This window comes from Homo sapiens, chromosome 17 (assembly GCF_000001405.40).
Source record: "Homo sapiens chromosome 17, GRCh38.p14 Primary Assembly".
NCBI classification, from domain to species: Eukaryota; Metazoa; Chordata; class Mammalia; order Primates; family Hominidae; genus Homo; species Homo sapiens.
Window position 1 is genome coordinate 6,222,394 of NC_000017.11, and position 13,124 is coordinate 6,235,517.

The following is a 13,124-nucleotide window of genomic DNA, read 5'->3' on the forward strand; positions in this document are numbered from 1 at the left end:
TTATTATAAAGCTACAGCCATCAACACACTATGGTGTTACAAACAGATCAACAGAACAGAATACAGAATCCAAAAATAAGTGAACACACATACGGATAATTGAATTTTGACAAACGTGCAAAAGCAATTCAATGGATAAAGGATAGTCTTTTTAACAAGCAGTGCTAGAACAATTGGATGTACATGTGCAAAAAAATGAACTTTGATGTTTCTCTTGCACCATATTATGAATGTTTGTGTTCCTTAAAATTTATATTTTGAAGCCTTAATCCCCAATGTGATGGTATTTGGAGATGAAGTCTTTAGGAAGTGATTAGGTTAAGATGAGATCGTGAGGATGGGGCCCCCATAATAAGATTAGTGCCCTTATCAGCTGAAAGAGGAAGAGACCAGAGCTCACTCTCTCTCTTTGCTATGTGAATATACAACAAGAAGGCTTCCGCTGACAGTGGAAGACAGCTTTAGCAGGAACTAGTGGGAGCAATAGCAGGACCAAATAAACCAAACCGACCAAAATAACACCACAGAAGTTCTGAAAGTTAAACCATCACTGGAACTGTATCCCACAAAAAGTAAGTTAGGACCCAGTGTGTGATGTCCCCCTTCCTGTGTCCAAATGTTCTCATTGTTCAGTTCCCACCTATGAGTAAGAACATGCGGTGTTTGTTTTTTTGTCCTTGCAATAGTTTGCTGAGTTGGGGGGAGGGGGGAGGGATAGCATTAGGAGATATACCTAATGTAAATGACGAGTTAGTGGGCGCAGGACACCAACATGGCACATGTATACATATGTAACAAACCTGCACATTGTGCACATGTACCCTAGAACTTAAAGTAAAAAAAAAAAAAAAAAAAAAAAATATATATATATATATATATATATATATATATATAGTAAGTTAGGACCAGCATGCTAATCCTAAACAGAGTGGCACCTGTTAAAATAAAAAATTCAAATACCACCCAGTGTCTCCTAACATAAATGATGACATGTGCAGGCTATAACCAAAAATGACTCATCCCACCAAGAACCACAAAAACCACAATTTGAGTAAGAAAAGACAACCAACTGATGCCAACAGTGAGATGAGTCATATGGCAGGATTCTCTGACAAGGATTTTAAAGGAGCCATCACAAAGATCCATCAATGGTAAATTACAAATTCTCTTGAAACAAATGAGAAAACAAAAACAAAAACAAATCTCAGTTTTAAAAGGTTATTTAAGGCCGGGAGCCTTAAATACGACAGAATTGTAACAGGAAAATCTCTAAATAGGTGGAAATTAAAATAATTTAAACTTCTCAATAATCTATAAGACAAAGAAGTCTCAATAGACTAAATGAAAATAAAAATACAACACAACAAAATATGTGGAATGCAGATAAAGCAGCCCTGAGAGGGAATTTAATGGCACTGAATGCTTACACAAGAAATGAGGAAAAACAGCCGGGCGCAGTGGCTCACACCTGGAATCTCAGCACTTTGGGAGGCCGAGACGGGTGGATCACAAGGTGAAGAGATCAAGACCAGCATGGCTAACATGGTGAAACCCTGTCTCTACTAAAAATACAAAAATTAGCTGGGCGTGGTGGTGCCTGCCTGTAATCCCAGCTACTCAGGAGGCTGAGGCAGGAGAATCGCTTGAACCCAGGAGGCAGAGGTTGCAGTGAGCCAAGATCGTGCTACTGCACTCCAGCCTGGCGACAGAGCAGGACTCTGTCAAAAAAAAAAAAAAAAAAAAAAAAAAAGGAAAAACCTCAAATCAATAATATAAGTTGCTACCTCAAGAAACTTGGGGGGAAAAAAAAGAGCAAAATAAACTCAGAGCAGGAATAAGAGAGGAAATAAAGATTACAGCAGAACTCAATGAAATCAAAAACAGGAAAACAATAGAGAAAAATCTGCTTCTTCAAAAACATCAATAAAATTTGCAAATCTTTAGAAAGATTGACAAAAATGAAAGAAAACACAAATCACCAATATCAAGAGTGAAATAGGGGCCAGGTGCGGTGGTGGCTCATGCTTGTAATCCCAGCACTTTGGGAGGCCGAGGTGGGTGGATCACGAGGTTGGGAGTTCAAGACTAGCCTGTCCAACGCAGGGAAACCCAAAAAAAAAAAAAAAAAAAAAAAAAAAACACCAGACTAATATCTCTCATGAATTTGATGCAAAAATTTTCAACAAAGTATTAGCAAGGTCAACCTAAAAATGTATGAAGGTCATTATAAGTTATGACCAAGTGGTATTTATCCCAGGTGTGAAAGGTTGGTTTAACATTTGAAATATCAATCAATAGGCCAGGTGCAGTGGCTCATGCCTGCAATTCCAGTACTTTGGGAGGCCGAGGCAGGCAGTTTGCTTGAGCTCAGGAGTTTGAGACCAGCCTGGGCAACGTGGCAAAACCTCATCTCTACAAAAAATACAAAAAAATTAGCAATGCGTGATGGTGCATGCCTGGAGTCCCAGCTACTTGGGAGGCTGAGGTGGGAGGTTGCTTGAGCCTGGGAGGTGGAGGTTGCAATGAGCCATGCACTCCAGTGTAGGCAACAGAGGGAGATCCTGTCTTAAAAGAAAAATGAATAAATAAATAAATAATCAATATAATCTGCCCTATTAACAAGATAAAGAAGAAAAACTGCGTAATCATATCAATTAATTCAGAAAAAGCATTTGAGAAAATCCAACACTCATTCTTAATTTTTTTAAGACCCCAAAAGTTAGGAACTTGATGAAAACCTCTATGAAGAAACCCGATAGCTAACGTAATAATTAATGGTTAAAGACATTATACTTTCTCCCTAAGATACAGGAACAAGAAAAGAATGTCTTTTCTCACCTCTCTGATTTGACATAGCACTAGTTCTAGATACTGCATAAGGCAGGAAAAGAAAAACATACAAAAGACATACAGGTTGCAATGGAAGAGGTAAAACTGCCTCTATTTGCAGATGACATGATTATGTATGTACAAAAGCTCAAGGAAGCAACAAAAATACTCTAGAATCAATAAAGGAGTTCAGCAAGTTTGCAGGATAAAAGATCAAAACACAAAGACCGATTGCATCTTTATATATTAACAATGAGGAGAATCGCTTGAACCCGGGAGGTGGATGTTGCAGTGAGCCAAGATGGCGCCACTGCACTCCAGCCTGGGTGACAGAGCGAGATTCCGTCTCAAAAAAAAAAAAAAAAAAATTATAACTATTTTATCAATGAAAACAGCCAGCTCCCGCTCCCGCTCCCGCTCCCTCTCCTTCTCCCCACGGTCTCCCTCTCCCCACGGTCTCCCTCTCTTTCCACGGTCTCCCTCTGATGCCGAGCCGAAGCTGGACTGTACTGCTGCCATCTCAACTCACTGCAACCTCCCTGCCTGATTCTCCTGCCTCAGCCTGCCGAGTGCCTGCGATTGCAGGCGCGCGCCACCACACCTGACTGGTTTTCGTATTTTTTTGGTGGAGACGGGGTTTCGCTGTGTTGGCCGGGCTGGTCTCCAGCTCCTAACCGGAGTGATCCACCAGCCTCGGCCTCCCGAGGTGCCAGGATTGCAGACAGAGTCTCGTTCACTCAGTGCTCAATGGTGCCCAGGCTGGAGTGCAGTGGCGTGATCTCGGCTAGCTACAACCTCTACCTCCCAGCCGCCTGCCTTGGCCTCCCAAAGTGCCGAGATTGCAGCCTCTGCCCGGCCGCCACCCCGTCTGGGATATGAGGAGCGTCTCTGCCCAGCCGCCATCCCATCTAGGAAGTGAGGAGCGCCTCTTCCCGGCCACCATCCCATCTAGGAAGTGAGGAGCGTCTCTGCTCAGCCGCCCATCGTCTGAGATGTGGGGAGCGCCTCTGCCCCGCCGCCCCATCTGGGATGTGAGGAGCGCCTCTGCCCGGCCGCGACCCCGTCTGGGAGGTGAGGAGCGTCTCTGCCCGGCCGCCCCATCTGAGAAGTGAGGAGACCCTCTGCCTGGCAACCGCCCCATCTGAGAAGTGAGGAGCCCCTCCGCCTGGCAGCCACCCCGTCTGGGAAGTGAGGAGCGTCTCCGCCCGGCAGCCACCCCGTCCGGGAGGGAGGTGGGGGTCAGCCCCCCGCCCGGCCAGCCGCCCCGTCCGGGAGGTGAGGGGCGCCTCTGCCCGGCCGCCCCTACTGGGAAGTGAGGAGCCCCTCTGCCCGGCCACCACCCCGTCTGGGAGGTGTGCCCAACAGCTCATTGAGAACGGGCCAGGACGACAATGGCGGCTTTGTGGAATAGAAAGGGGGGAAAGGTGGGGAAGAGATTGAGAAATCGGATGGTTGCCGTGTCTGTGTAGAAAGAAGTAGACATGGGAGACTTTTCATTTTGTTCTGTACTAAGAAAAATTCTTCTGCCTTGGGATCCTGTTGATCTGTGACCTTACCCCCAACCCTGTGCTCTCTGAAACATGTGCTGTGTCCACTCAGGGTTAAATGGATTAAGGGCGGTGCAAGATGTGCTTTGTTAAACAGATGCTTGAAGGCAGCATGCTCGTTAAGAGTCATCGCCACTCCCTAATCTCAAGTACCCAGGGACACAAACACTGCGGAGGGCGCAGGGTCCTCTGCCTAGGAAAACCAGAGACCTTTGTTCACTTGTTTATCTGCTGACCTTCCCTCCACTATTGTCCTATGACCCTGCCAAATCCCCCTCTGCGAGAAACACCCAAGAATGATCAATAAAAAAAAATAAAAAAATAAAAATAAAAAAAAAAGAACTGAATAAACATACCACATTTAAATTAAAAAAAAAAAAAAAGAAAACAGCCAATGCCAAAGAGAAAGATAGAACGAAAATGCCCTATTCCATGGAACAATTAAAAAAAAATTAACAACTACTTATTCCAATCACTAAAAGTGGATGACCAGACGTTATGGACCTCCTGATATGATGCAACAGGAAGGACCATTAGGAAGTGTTCCTGAAAAAAAAAGTTTTAAGAATAAGTCAACCACCACTAGGAAACAATTAACCAAATTCAGAATATGGGAAATTCTATATAACAAATGAACTACTTTAGTCAATAAACAAATGGCATTTAAAAAAAGAAAGGGGTCTTTCTTTAAAAATTAAAAGATACTTTAAAAAACTGAAACAAGACCAAAAATATGCAATGTATAGACTCTGTGTGGATACTGATTTAAGCGAATTAACAATAAAAATTTTTAAGCACCTGGCAAACTTTGAACGTGGAGTAGACATAAGATATTAAGAAACATTGTTAGGTATGATAATGACATTGTAGTTTATGTTTAAAGTCATTGAGATTTATAATAAAGTATCCAGGGATGAAATAAAAAAAAAAAAAAAACAATGAATACACAGAAACTGAAATTAAAAGCATAATGTCATTTACAACTACTTCGAAGATAATGAAACACTTAGGTATATATTAAACAAAACATGTACAGAATCTGTATATGAAAAATTACAAAATCCTGATGAAAGACATCAAAGAAAATCTAAATAAACAGAGATGCTGTGTTCATGTATTAGAAAATTCGGCATCTTAAAGGTATTCATTCTCCCTGCATTGTTCTACAGGTTTAATGCAATTTCCATTGAAATCCCAGCAAGGTTTTAGTGGACATAGACAAGCTTATTCTAAAATTTATTTGAAAAGGCACAGATTCTAAAATAGCTAAAAGTCTTCTAAAGAAGAATAGAGTGGGCCGGGCGCGGTGGCTCACACCTGTAATCCCAGCACTTTGGGAGGCCGAGGCAGGCGGATCATGAGGTCAGGAGATTGAGACCATCCTGGCTAACATAAAAATACTAAAAACCCGTCTCTACTACAAATACAAAAAATTAGCTAGGCATGGTGGGACCTGTAGTCCCAGCTACTTGGGAGGCTGAGGCAGGTGAATGGCCTGAACGCAGGAGGTGGAGCTTGCGGTGAGCTGAGATTGTGCCAGTGCACTCCAGCCTCTGTCTCAAAAAAAAAAAAAAAAAAAGAATAGAGTGGGAGAGATTACTCTATTCAATATTATTGTTATAGTAATCAGGATAACGTGGTATGGGTGAGGAGATAGACACACAGATCAATGGAACAGAAAAGAGAATCTAGAAATAGACCCACAAAAATATACTCAACTTACTTGTGACAAAGGTGCCGAAGCAATTCAGGGAAGAAAAGACATGCATTGGCAAAATATTGAGCCTCAACCTAAACTTCATCATATACAAAATATAAAGTCTATACAGAAATAAACTCTAAACTTATGGAGGTGAGTTTGGGTTTTTTTTTTTTTTTTTTTTTTAAGATGGAGTTTCGCTCTTCTTGCCCAGGCTGGACTGCAATGGCGCAATCTCGGCTCACAGCAACCTCCGCCTCCCGGGTTCAAACCATTCTCCTACCTCAGCCTCCAGAGTAGCTGGGATTACAGGCATGCGCCACCATGCCCAGCTAATTTTGTATTTTTAGTAGAGACGGGGTTTCTTCATGTTGGTTAGGCTGGTCTCGAACTCCGGACCTCAGGTGATCTGCCCGCCTTGGCCTCTCAAAGTGCTGGGATTACAGGCGTGAGCTACCGCGCCCAGCCGAGTTTGGGGTTTAATGTAAAATGCAGAACTATAAGACTTTTAGAAAACAATGGAGAAAGTCTGCAGAATACAAGGCTAGGCAAAAAAAAATTGTTGGAGTTGACACCAGAAGCATGATACAGAAAATTGATACAGAAAAAATTTATGTTGGACTCCACCAAAATTGAAAGTTTTTGCTTTGTGAAAGACCTTGTTTAAAGGATAAATAGACAAGATACATACTGTCTTTGCACATAATGTATTCAAGAAAGGACTGTTGTCTATAATATATAAAAGAATTTCAAAACTCTACAGTAAAAAACAAATACGCAATCCACTTAGAAAAGGAACAAAAGACATTATTAGACATTTCATCAAAGAAGATATATAGATAGCAAATGAGCACATGAAAAGATGTTCACCATCATTAGCCATTGGGGAAATGCAAATTAAAACCACAGTGAGATATCACCAAACATCCATCATCACAACGGCTACAATTAAAAAACAGTGACAAAATATAAAGTTCATACAGACCAACACCAGTGCTGGCAAGGAGCTGGAGAAACTAGCTATCTCGTGCATTGCTGGTGGAAATGTAAAACAGTACAGCCACCCTAGAAAACAATGTAGCAGTTTCTTATAAAATTAAGCATGCAACCACCACACAACCTAGCAATTGCACTCTTAGACATTTATCCCAGAGAAATGAAAATGTGTTCACACGGAAACCTGTACATACATGTTCACAGCAGCCTTATGCATAACAGCCAAAAACTGGAATCAATCAACCCAGATGTCCTTCAACAGATGAGTGGAAAAACAAGCTGGTACATTTATAACATGGAATTCCACTGGACAATAAAAAGCAGTGAATTTGGCCGAGTGCAGTGGCTCACACCTGTAATCCCAGTTACTCAGGAGGCTGAGGCAGGACAATCGCTTGAACCTGGGAGGCAGAGGTTGCAATGAGCCGAGATCGCACCACTGCACTCCAGCCTGGACAACAGAGTCAGACTCTATCTCAGGAAAAAGAAAAAAAAAAGCTGTGAATTCGCAGTGGCTCACGCCTGTAATCCCAGCACTTTGGGAGGCCAAGATGGGAGGATTACTTGAGGCCAGGAGTTGGTTAACATAGTGTGGCCCCCATCTCTATTAAAAAAAAAAAAAAAAAAAAAGAGGCTGGGCATGGTGGCTCACACCTGTAATCCCACCACTTTGGGATGCCAAGGCGGGCAGATTACCTGAGGTCAGGAGTTCGAGACTAGCATGGCCAACATAGCAAAACCCCGTATCTACTAAAAATACAAAAGTTAGCCAGGTGTGGTGGCATGCACCTGTAATCCCAGCTACTCAGGAGGCTGAGGCAGGAGAATCACTTGAACCCGGAAGGCAGAGGTTGCAGTGAGCCACGATCATGCCACTGCACTCCAGACTGGGCAACAGAGTAAGATTCCATCTCAAAAAAAAAATAATGAAATTTTTTTTTTTTAAAAAAAAGAAGCAGTGAATTACTGATTATAGGCAACATCTTGGAAGAATCTCCAGGAAATCATGATGAATGATAAGATCCAGCGCCAAGAGGGCATATACTGCATGGTTCCATTTATATTACATTTTTGAAATGACAAAGTTTTAGAAATAGAGAAAAAATGAGTGATTGCCTGGGGTTAGGAATGGGGGAAGAACAGGAGAAGGGATCTATACTTACGGAAAGACAAGACAGGGATCATGGTTCCGATGGAATTGCTCAGGATCTTGGCTATAGTGGTATCGAAACTCCACATGTGATAAAATTGTGTATAACTAAATACACACACAGACACACAAATTAGTACATCTAAAACTGGGGAAACCAGAATAATATTGATAAATTAGATCAATGTCAATATCCAGTCTTTGATATTGTACCATAATTTTACAAATTGTTATTATAGGAGAAAAATGAGTCTTAAAAAGTCTTAAACGGTCTTAAGATCGCTTAAAAAGTCTTAAAAAGATCTTACATGAGATCTCTCCATATTATTTCTTAAAACTGCATGTGATTCTACAATTACCTGAATAAAAATTTCAATTAAAAAAATTAAACATAGGGTCAGACATGGTGGCTTATGCCTGTAATCCCAACACTTTGAGAGTCCAAGGCGGGTGGATAATCTGAGTGAGGTCAGGATTTCGAGACCAGCCTGGCCAACACAGTGAAACCCTGTCTCTACCAAAAATACAAAAATTAGCTGGGCGTGGTGGCACATACCTGTAGTTCCAGCTACTCGGGAGGCTGAGGTGGGAGAATTGCTTGAACCTGGGAGGCAGAGGTTGTAGTGAACCGAGATCATGCCACTGCGCTCCAGCCTGGGTGACAAGAGCAAAAGTCCGTCTCAAAAAAAAAAGAGAACTTATCAAACTGTGCTCTTTAATGTGTACTATTTATTGTGCCTCAATAAAGAAAAGAATAAATGGATGAGTATATGAATGAGTAAACAAATCAAGAATGGATGTATACATTTAAAAATTGACAAAGGAGGCTGGGTGCGGTGGCTCACACCTGTAATCCCAGCACTTTAGGAGTCTGAGGTGGGAGGATCACTTGAGCTCAGGAGTTTGAGACCAGCCAGGGCAACACAGGGAGACCCCATTTCTATAAAAAATACAAAAATTAGCCAGGCACGGTGATACGCACCTGTAGTCCTGTGTGGGGCAGGAGGGGTGCTCCAAGAAGGGGAACAGGCTGAGCGTCTACACCAGAGCTGGCACCAGGGCACGGATGCCTTGTCTGGAGGCCACCCACTCCCATAACACAATTCTGAGAATGCCGCAGTCCCATCCTGGCCTCTGGCCTCGTAATGTTAACGCTGGATCCTGGTCTCCTATTTTTATTCAGTCTATGTATTATGTCCTGCTGAATGAGTGGAATATGAAAATAACTTTTTATTTCCCTTAAGACGGCATATCCGGAGCTAGCTCCTATCTCAAGGAAATCCTTTGCTGGGGGAGTCTGCAGCTTAGAGGGGGAAGCGCCCTTCTGTGGAAAAGATGGGCTTGAGAGGCGGCAGGGCACTGTGGGGAGTCCCCTGGCTTTGGAGCCGGGCTGCCCAGTTGCCCAACACCAGAGTGGTCACAGTCCTCCTAACCTCTCTGGGCCTCGCAGGACAAACCCGCCTCTGTTGCACAATAAACCCAGTAATACAGGCCAAGTACCTAGCACAGTGTCTGGCTCATCACAAGCCCTTCAGACCCTCCAGATTGTGATGGGGTAGAAACCTGTGAACATCGTGAATATTCTCCCTGAGGAGGGGATATGACTAAGCAAGTTGTCGATTCTACCTCCGTTGCTGAGAGCTGACAGCATCCCAGCATCAGGTTTCTCGTTTGAGCACCTAGCTGGGGGTGTTCCGGTGCAGAGGACCTGGAGTTCAGTTTGAGACATGCAGTCTGCGATCCAGACAAGGCATTGATCGTGAGGAATGAGCTGCCGGGTTCTCCAGCAGAGGGAGAGGGGCTGGGGACCGAGGTGTCATGAGTGGAGTGATAACCGCTGTCTCTGTCCCTTCCCTAAGCTGTCTCCTTGCTGTTCTGGTGGCTCTGACCGCCCCAGTGGAAAAATTTTCTCCCTCCCAGCCAGGACCCACCAAAAGCCCTTGGGAGGCACTCAAATGTGCAACTTTTTTATAGTTCACATTTATTCTACCGGGGAAATCAGCCCTCGACCGCAGCGGTGCCCAGGCATGAATCATCATGTCCATGGTGTACAGAAAATGCAGTAAGTCAGCAGTTACGGGGTGGGGCCCCAGGGTTTTCATCCACAAAGAGATTTTTCAATTTTATTAAAATCAATACGAGTTTTATTACAGTATAAATGAAATGAGGTCCCCTTGCTTCCGGGATAACGAACCACATCGCCATGACAGCGGGGTAGGAGAACCCCTGCCTGAAAGAGACCCTCCTCGGGAAGGCGAGTGCTTTGATTCATGTGCCCAGAGTGGTGGCGACCCTGCAGGAGAGAGAAGAGCTGCAGCCAAGGAAACAGGTCTACTGGGAAATTTCCAGCAACATGCCAAGCCCCCCGCTCCGTGACTCCTTCCTGTGTTCTTGCAAATCTTTGTGAATCCTAGAAAAATCGTGACATAACAGGTGGGACAAAATTTTCCGTGGAAATCACAGGTAGAGTTGATTTCATCATTGAGGTTGGCTTGGTGCTGAGATTGTCCTTCTGTAGGAATGAAGGCAGGCACAGAGAGCAAGCTGGTGTGGAAGCATTCCGTAAACAAGTGCTGGTGGTTTTTACCTTATTCTTGTAGTTACCATCCACAGCAATGGGTGCTCAGGTCCTATAAACAGGCTCTTGGGGAAAGAATAACAAGGGCCACCATCTCTAAGTTAATGGTCAAGACCCAAAGACAGTCCCCATGGAAACCAGAACAGAGATGATCACTGAACGCCTGAGAGAAGGCGTAAGAGGAGTCCGCCCATGTGTACACACACACACTGCACACTCACATCACACACATTGCACACTCAGATATATACACTCACATTGCACACTCATGTGCACACACATTGCACACTCACATGCATGCACACATACTGCACACTCATATGCGCACACACATATTGGACACACATTGCACACTCATATGCATACACATTGCACACTCACATGTGCACACACATATTGGACACTCAGATTGCACATCATATGCATACCTACACATATTGCACACTCATGCACACACACATATTGGACACTCACATTGCACACACATGCATACCCACACATATTGCAACCTCACATGTACACACACACACACACACACACACACACACACACACACTCTTAAGCAGCTCTCTGGGCGGGTTGTGGAGGGGCCTCAGAGCCCAGTCTGGAGCCCCCGGTGCAGACATGGGGCAGGAAGGGGTGGAGTTCTTCTCCGGACAAGGCCCCAGGGCCTAGGTAGCTTGGCTTCCAGGGGTGGCCTAGCTCCCCAGGACAGCTGTGGGCAGTCTTCTGGCTCCTGCGGGAGCTTCCAGTACCCATCCCCTGGCCAGGACTTGAAGGGAACTGAGTTTGGATCAGAACCTCAGACTCCTCTAGTTTGAGCCCTGGAAGCTCGTCTCCTGGCTGTAGGGTTGTAGTCTCAGTCCTGACTGCTGAGATGTCCTGGCAGCCCTGGGAACTAGACCAAAGCTGCTTAATCGGGGTTCTGCAGTCATCATTTATCTGGAGGACAGGTTCTGCCACCTGGGGCCTGGTGCTGTAGAGGTGGCTGTCTCAAAGGCCTCAAAGCTGCTTCAAGTACTGAGGGAGAAGCTTCTGCTGGAGCTCTTGGAAAGCTACTGGGCTGGTTGTCCACATTCAGAGGGGCGTAGACATGCCCTTGTTTCATAGGGGCAGGCAGAGCCCAGACCCAGAGAATGGGGCATCCAGAGTGATCCAGGGGACACCGATTTCAGCCAGGAAAGGGACTTTGGTTGAGAAAGTGCCTGTGATGTGGATCCTACAAACCTTGGAGGATTTCCTCCCAATTTTTTTTATTTTATTTATTTAATTTTTAGACAGGGTCTCACTCTGTCCCCCAGGCTGAAGTGCAGTGGCATGATCCTGGCTCACTGCAACCTTGACCTCCCAGGCTTAAGCAATCCTGCCACCTCAGCCTCCCGAGTAGTTGAGACCACAGTGGGTTGCCACTATGCCCAGCTAATATTTTAATTTGTAGAGATGGGGTCTCGCTATGTTGTCCAGACTGGTCTCAAACTCCTGGGTTCAAGTGATCCTCCTGCCTCCGCCTCCCAAAGTGCTGGAATTACAGGTGAGAGCCACTCTGCACAGCCCCAACTTTTAAAAATGAAAACAACAATAACAGCAAGGCATCCCAAAATCCCAACCCTAACAAAGCTATTTTCATTTTTGTGTATCTAATTCTTGTCCTCGTCTACAGAGACACACATTTTTCTTCATTGGAATGATAATATGTACATGATTTTTATCTACAGGTGGGGTTTTTTGTCTACTTAACAATACATAATAAATATTTTTCATTTTTCCATGCAGTTTTGATTAAATGTAATATCTGTAAAAAAATGGAATAGTGAAGATGTTTCTCTGATTACTGAGTTTTTGTTATTGAATAAGGCTACACTGAACATCTTCAAAGGGATTTTTTCTTTCCAGAGGTAAACCAATAGGTAAATCCCAGCACTTTGGGAGGCCAAGGCAGCGGATTACCTGAGGTCAGGAGTTCAAGACCAGCCTGGCCAACATAGTGAAACCCCGTCTCTACTAAAAATACAAAAAGTAGCTGGGTGTGGTGGCACATGCCTGTAATCCCAGCTACTCGGGAGGCTGAAGCAGGAGAATTGCTTGAGCCCAGGAGACAGAGGCTGCAGTGAGCAGAGATCATGCTATTACACTCCAGCCTGGCCGACAGAGGGCCACAGGACATAAGTATTTTTTGATTCTTATTGCAGATTGCTCACTTAGAGTAACCCATTGTGCCCCCATCCATATCCCACATCCCACCCCCTAATCTTGCCGTGGTGACTTGTGACACGTGTCTGTTTGGAGGTAGGTGTTTCTGCTACTTTAGTAAGCATCAAATAGCAC

At 44.3% G+C, this 13,124-nt stretch overlaps 1 annotated feature.

Annotated features, from left to right (window-relative positions):
- Positions 933 to 1,133: a silencer, noted in NCBI's record as "peak2711 fragment used in MPRA reporter construct". NCBI's record gives its function as "represses an SCP1 promoter by STARR-seq MPRAs in K562 erythroleukemia cells {active_cell/tissue: K562}" and the evidence as "EXISTENCE:reporter gene assay evidence [ECO:0000049][PMID:32103011]".